The sequence below is a fragment of the Homo sapiens genome, chromosome 6 (assembly GCF_000001405.40).
Source record: "Homo sapiens chromosome 6, GRCh38.p14 Primary Assembly".
Taxonomy (NCBI): domain Eukaryota; kingdom Metazoa; phylum Chordata; class Mammalia; order Primates; family Hominidae; genus Homo; species Homo sapiens.
Window position 1 is genome coordinate 29,750,462 of NC_000006.12, and position 6,419 is coordinate 29,756,880.

Genomic DNA, 6,419 nt, shown 5'->3' on the forward strand with positions numbered 1-6,419 from the left:
ACTAGCCTTTAAAAAAAGAAAATCTTCCCAATTAGATAATAGCAACTGTGGCACGATGTTGTGATTATGCTAAAAGCCACTGACCAGTACATTTTTTTTTTTTTAACCAGGAACACATGCACTTTATTGAATGCCATTGTAGAAGAGTGTGTGAGGATAAAGCGCTGATACAGAACTCAGCTCTGGGGCCAGGACGAGGAATGGAAGTTGGAGTATGTGGAATACAGGTCATGGGCAGAGCTCCTGGCCTGGATGATGCCTCCTGATCTATCGACAGACTTGGAAGATCAACACTAGGATGATGACGGTGAGCAGAATGGTCATGATGATGCACACAATCAGGGCTCAGATGTTCAGGTACTTGGCAGTGGAGGCATAGGCCTGGGCCCCAGTCAGGTCTCCAACCATCTTCCTGTCCCTAGACTTCAGGGAGTAGGTGAATGCTATGAATCCCAGGCAGTGGGGGTTCATGAAGAGGATGTTGGACAGGGACCAGACAACATAGTCAGACACGGAGGTCTCGCTGCAGATATGGATCATGGTGGACATTGGGGGAGCAGGGTTGTGGGGCGCCCCCAGCACAGCCACCTCATGCTCCTCCTTGAGCATCTCATAGCTGGGGTTGGGGGGCGGGGGAGGGCAGCCACTGTTGGCAGGAATGAAGAAGGTTTGGGCAGTGTGGTTCATGGTGTCCAGCAAAGACCAGCTGTGGTCAGGTTGCTGGGATGGTTCTGAGTGGGCCCTGGACTGTACATTTTTAAATGGTAAATTACGTGGCACATAAATTATATCTCGATAATAAAACACCATGCAAAAGCCTCTTTCTACTGAAAGAATCATCTCGTCCCCAACACACACGTCTCTTACTCTTTGGAACATCTAGCCAGTGGTCCTCAAACCTAGCCACTTCACAGAACCACCTGGAGAGTTTTTAATATCCACGGTCCCAGGTCACAGCCAAAACCAATTGAATCAGTAAGGCTAGGTTGGACCTAAGCTTCAATATCTTTTAAAGCTCTCTACGTGCTTCCAATGTGTAGGCAAGTTTTAGAACCACTGTTCTAGCCCATGGTTTGAACCTCCCTGATGGGTACCAACTTTGCCTGCATTCTTGAACTCCATCTACTATTTATTTATTTATTTATTTTTAAGAGGGGGAGATCTCACTCTGCCGCCAGTTGGAGGGCATCAGTGTGATCACAGCTCACTGCAGCTTCAGATGCCTGGGCCCAAGCAATCCAGCCACTTCAGCCTCCTGAGTACCTGGGACTGTAGGTGAGTGCCACCATGCCCAGCTGTCATCTACCATCTTGTACCATCCCTCACTACACGATGAACAGTCCATGATCTGGAACTGTGTTCATTCTATCTTTGTCACTCTTACAAACATTTTTTAAAACTGAACTATACCTATAATTACTAACCATTCCTCTTAAAACTCCTAGCCTACACATTTCTGTGAGTGAAAATTTAAGCATCACAGGGTTTTAACAATTACTTAGATTTCCCATCCACATTCACTGATTATTTATTTTGATCATCATAATCTATTGCGCACAGCAGGGACTGGGGTCCTGTCCCCACCTTAGGGGGATTATTTACACTCCTAAAGATTACAAGAGTAGTGAGGGGCAGAGAGGTGGTCTCAGCTCTCCTGACACAGGTCTCCCTTCCCTCCACAGTGTCTACCCTCCCTCCAGGACGACCTTCCTCCCTGTGCCAGCTCTAGCAAAGGGTCTCATTCAGCTCACCTCAAAAAATACTTTTAATACTTAAATAACGACAATAATAATAATATACAAGGTTAGTTCCAAGGCATGTAGAGGTGATGGCCAGCAGAGGTGAAGCCAATCCACCCTTTCTGGGCTAGGGGAAGCCCAGATGGTCTTCCGCTCGCTCGGGGTGAGGCACTCCCCAGGGTCCCGGCCTGGCTGCCCATCCCCCACCAAGTCTCCCAGGCCTTCTGTCCAATGCCCTCTCCCTCCACCCCACCTCCAGCCCCTTCTGCTCTGCCCCATCAACTACGTTTTCTTCCTCAGGACTCGCCTTAGACCTCTGAACTCCGGGGCACAGAGGCGACTTTCTCCTCACAGACTTTAGGCGCCACTGCTGGGTCCGGAAAAGAAAGAGAAAGGACCCAGTGCGGTCGCTTACAGAACCCAGGGCGGGGTTGGGCTGGGCGCCCGCGCGCGTTTTCAAGCCTGCGGCCCGGAGTTCACTGCGAGGACTGAGATCACCCGTTACCCCGCCCTGGTCTACAAGTGTTTGCTGATATAGAAACGGAATAACGGCGCTGTGGGCTGGGGAGGACGGAGTTGCCTTCAGGCTTCTGGTCTCCAGCCGCGGGGCACTCACAGCTGCCGCTATGAAAATGCAGACCTGTGGGGCAGGAATTCCGAGTCCGGGGTGGAGCGCGATGTGGAATCTGACTCGCTTGAAACAGCACCGCGGTGGATTCGGATCCGGGTGAGTAGGGAAATGCGCCTCAGCCCCTCCCACGGGCCGCCCACGGATTCCAGGATCCGAAAACGCTTCCAGCTGCTCCGCCACCCCAGGAAGGCAGCGCCTGCCTCTGGGCGGTTCTGACGGAAACTGGCTCCTCCGCCTGCAGGAAAACTCACAACTAAGGGGCCAGGAGAAAGCCTCTCAGGGTCCCGCCCCTTCAGTGAGGATCCTAAATTTACATCCCGAGTGTGGCCCCATCAAAGACTGGAGCGACGTTCACTGAAATGATACAAGACCAGCAGGGGCGCAGGGCGCTGCGGCCCTCAGAATGCGGTGACAGCGCCGCCTCGCGTCCCTTCCCCGACCTGCCCCAGGCGGACGCGGTGACGTGTGTTGGCCTCGAGGCTGGAATACACCGGGGATCAAGTGCAGAGAAGGGAGAAAGTAGGGAAGGATGGCTGGGGGGTGGGGGTGGGGGGAGCGTGTTGAAGAAAAAAGGGAAGAGAGAGGAAGGAAAGAGGAGAAAAAAGGTGAAGAAGAGAATAACATTTAAAATATAGAGTTTTATTATTTCTAACTTTTATTTTTGGTTTTTATCTAGTTTTGGTATGTATGAATATTCTTAACATAGCTTTATCTCTGTCTCTCTCTCTGAATCTGTAAATATACAGTAATATATATACACGTAAGCCTCTACCTGCCGATGTGTCAGGGTGTGTCTCTTGGGCACAAAAACAAGGTTTTTGTTTTGTTTTGTTTTACATAAGCAAAGTACAAATCTCAAAGAAGATATATTTTAAAAGCCATTTTATTGGGACTTGCTTTGCATACAATAAAATGTATCTAAAATGTATCTATTTGAAATGCATAGCTCGTTGTGTTTTGGCTGTTGTACACACCCACATCTCCACTACCACAATGAAGATGTAGAACATTTCCATCGGACTCCAAAGAGCTGCTATGCAATACAATTTTATAGGGTCAATAAAAGAGGTAAGATCAGTTTTAAGTATTGTTATGAGAAGATGTGTGCGTCTCATACTTTTAACCATTTTTTAAAAGATGAGGATACACTGAATTATAATGCCAGTAATACCACTTCCATAATGTATATTTTAAGTAGGGAAAAACCTGGAAGATTTCTCACCAAAGTTTTATTTATTTATTTATTTTTTGAGACAGAGTCTAGCTCTGTCGCCCAGGCTGGAGTGCAGTGGCGAGATCTCGGCTCACTGCAAGCTCCGCCTCCTGGGTTCACGCCATTCTCCTGGGTTCACGCCATCCTCCTGCCTCAGCCTCCCGAGTAGCTGGGACTACAGACGCCCGCCACCACACTAATTTTTTGTATTTTTTTGTATTTTTTTTTTTGGTAGAGACGGGGTTTCACCGTGTTGGCCAGGATAGTCTCGATCTCCTGACCTCGTGATCTGCCCGCCTCGGCCTCCCAAAGTGCTGGGATTACAGTCGTGAGCCACCGCGCCTGGCCTTTTTTTTTTTTTTTTTTTTTTTTTTTTTCTGAGACGGAGTTTCGCTCTTGTCGCCCAGGCTGGAGTGCAGTGGTGCGATCTTGGCTCACTGCAACCTCCACCTCCAGGGTTCAAGTGATTCTCCTGCCTCAGCCTCCCTAGTAGCTGGAATTACAGTCACTCGCCACCATACCCATCTAATTTTTTGTGTTTTTAGTAGAGATGGGGTTTCGCCATGTTGGACAGGCTGGTCTCGAACTCCTGACCTCAGGTGATCCACCCGCCTCAGCCTCCCAGAGTGCTGGGATTACAGGCGTGAGCCACTGAGCCCTCACCAAAGTCTTGACAGTGACTCCAGGGACTACAATAACTTGGTGATTTTCACTTTCTCTGAAATGTTGGAATTTTATATTACAGTATTAACTTGGATTTGGCTTGGCCCGGTGGTTTGTACCTGTAATTTCAGCTCTGGAAGGTGAGGCAGAATTGCTTGAGACCAGGAGTTCGAGGCTGCATTGAGCTATGATTGTGTTACTGCACTCCAGCCTGGGTGACGAATGGAGACATTGTTTCAAAAAAAGAAAAATAAATGCAATTAAAAATAAAAATAAACCTGAATTTGTATGGAGGTTAAGGAAGAGTATATCTCAGTTTGAAACATTATGAAGCTAAGCCCCAAACCCAAATAGTTAGAGATTTTTAAATACCAAAGTGTTAATTAAAACTCAACACCAGAAACTCTCTTTTAAGAGTATCCTTCATATTTTCATGGCATTGACTCTTTCTTAGTGTCTTTGACAGAAATGTTTTTAGTGGAGTAGAGATACATGTAATAAAATTTACAGAAGGGCTATAATAAAGAGGGAAACGCAAAATCGAGTCTGACACAGGAGACCCTGTTCCATTTATACTCAAAGCAACTTTGAAAACTGCGCCGTCATGGTGTCTTTGGGTTGAGACAAAGTCGAAGCAAATTTTGTTCCTAGAGTATTGATTTCCCCTTTCCAATGGCTAAAGGCTTTCGGAACTAGTCTGAAAACTCAGGCTCTGACTTTGGATCTAAAGAAGTGTCAAGAATGTGCGGGCAGTGGCGCTGCATGAATCTAGCGGGTCTGGGCGATGCTCTCTCCGGCTCTACCCAGTAGCAACTGCGGTAAGGACAGGACGCAGCGAAATTGTACCAGTGAGTCAGAGGCCAAAGGAGGAATCCTGGCCCAACAGCGCAGAGTGTGCTTTGTTAAGGTGGGGATCAGGTAGCGGAGGGAAGGCAAGGACACTCAGGGAATAAATGGCAGAGGAAGAAGGCGCGCGAGGGAAGACCCAAAGCCTTCCGACCCCTCCTTCCTTTCCTTCCTGTTGGGGTTGAAGGGCACCAGCCGGTGGGGTGCAGAGAATGGGAACAACTAGAGAGGGCGTGCCCCACACAGGCGTCCCGGCTCCCTTCTCCCAGCTACTACTGATGAGTTCAAACTAGGAGGACACTAAGACGTGTCTTTTGCAAGGTAGACTCCTTATCTCGCACTCTGTCTGGTTTTCTAAGTCCATCCTAATGAAACACAAAAACCAAGAGCCAAATTCTGCGTGTGACTTTTCTGACCACTATAAGGTCCTCCTCCTCCCCATTTCTTGCGTGCTTCCCCCTTGCCTCGCCCCCTCCCCTTTGTCTCCACTTCCCCGCTCCTAAGTATCTCCTGCTTTCTTCAGAGGACTTCTCATGAAGTACAGACTCCTCCACCTCCAGGAAAAAGAGACAAAGTCCACTGAGAAGGACCTGAGGGATGCCTGTGACCCCGCCCCTGAGGTCAGCCCCTCCCGCATCGCTGGCTTTGGCTCTGTATGTGTGTGTGTGTGTGTGTGTGTGTGTGTGTGTGTGTGTGTTTGTGTGTGCGCGCGCGCTTGTGTGTGTGTCTGTGTGAATGTTAATGGAGAGTCAAAGTGCTAAACTCGGCATCTATCATAGGAAACTTTCTCACCTTGGCACTGCATGCAAGAGTCAGTGTATTTATGTGCACCTGTGCCTTTATTTCAGGAGCTGGAACAATTTTATTCATCAGATCCGCAGAGTGCCAACGCCCCCACCCCAGAAAGCTTAAGGGACTCTGCATTAGAGAAGAGGGTGAGATTGGAGGGGCCCCTGACTCCAAATCTCCTGATCCCCCCTCCACAAAGAGATGCTGAAAAAAAGTGCTGGACAATCCATTCCCTCCTGGGACCAGACAGGAAGCCAGAGGCACCGTGGATGTCAAATTCCAGCAAAGAAACAATTACAGCAAAATCTCCATGTCACATTTTTAAGCTTACACAATGGCTCAAATAGAACCAGCATCAAAAATCCCGAATTCCTGGTTCAGGTGGGATCACTGAAGTCTGCTGTTAGGCTTGGCAGGACCTGCAGGTAGAAAGAATGGCATCTCTATTTAGAGCTGCAGCCCAGTAGCCCCTGCTTCTTGGGCTCTTTGAAAAGACCCTCTCCCTTCAGCAGTGCACAGTGAGGCCATTTCTGGGGAA

General features: G+C 48.5%; 1 pseudogene across 1 annotated transcript, besides 2 other annotated features; it reads right to left on the reverse strand.

Annotated features, from left to right (window-relative positions):
• Positions 1-345: 345 nt before the first annotated feature.
• IFITM4P (interferon induced transmembrane protein 4 pseudogene) lies at positions 346-687 on the reverse strand (annotated as a pseudogene). Its single transcript, NR_001590.1, has one exon. The product of NR_001590.1 is annotated as an interferon induced transmembrane protein 4 pseudogene (transcript).
• Positions 1,656-2,328: an enhancer, noted in NCBI's record as "H3K27ac-H3K4me1 hESC enhancer chr6:29719894-29720566 (GRCh37/hg19 assembly coordinates)". NCBI's record gives its function as "activates a minimal SCP1, AML or CMV promoter by ChIP-STARR-seq in naive H9 embryonic stem cells {active_cell/tissue: H9 hESC(naive)}" and the evidence as "EXISTENCE:reporter gene assay evidence [ECO:0000049][PMID:30033119]".
• Positions 5,936-6,097: a silencer, noted in NCBI's record as "fragment chr6:29724174-29724335 (GRCh37/hg19 assembly coordinates)". NCBI's record gives its function as "represses an EF-1alpha promoter that drives an FKBP-Casp9 reporter gene in an ReSE screen in HepG2 liver carcinoma cells and K562 erythroleukemia cells {active_cell/tissue: HepG2 | K562}" and the evidence as "EXISTENCE:reporter gene assay evidence [ECO:0000049][PMID:32094911]".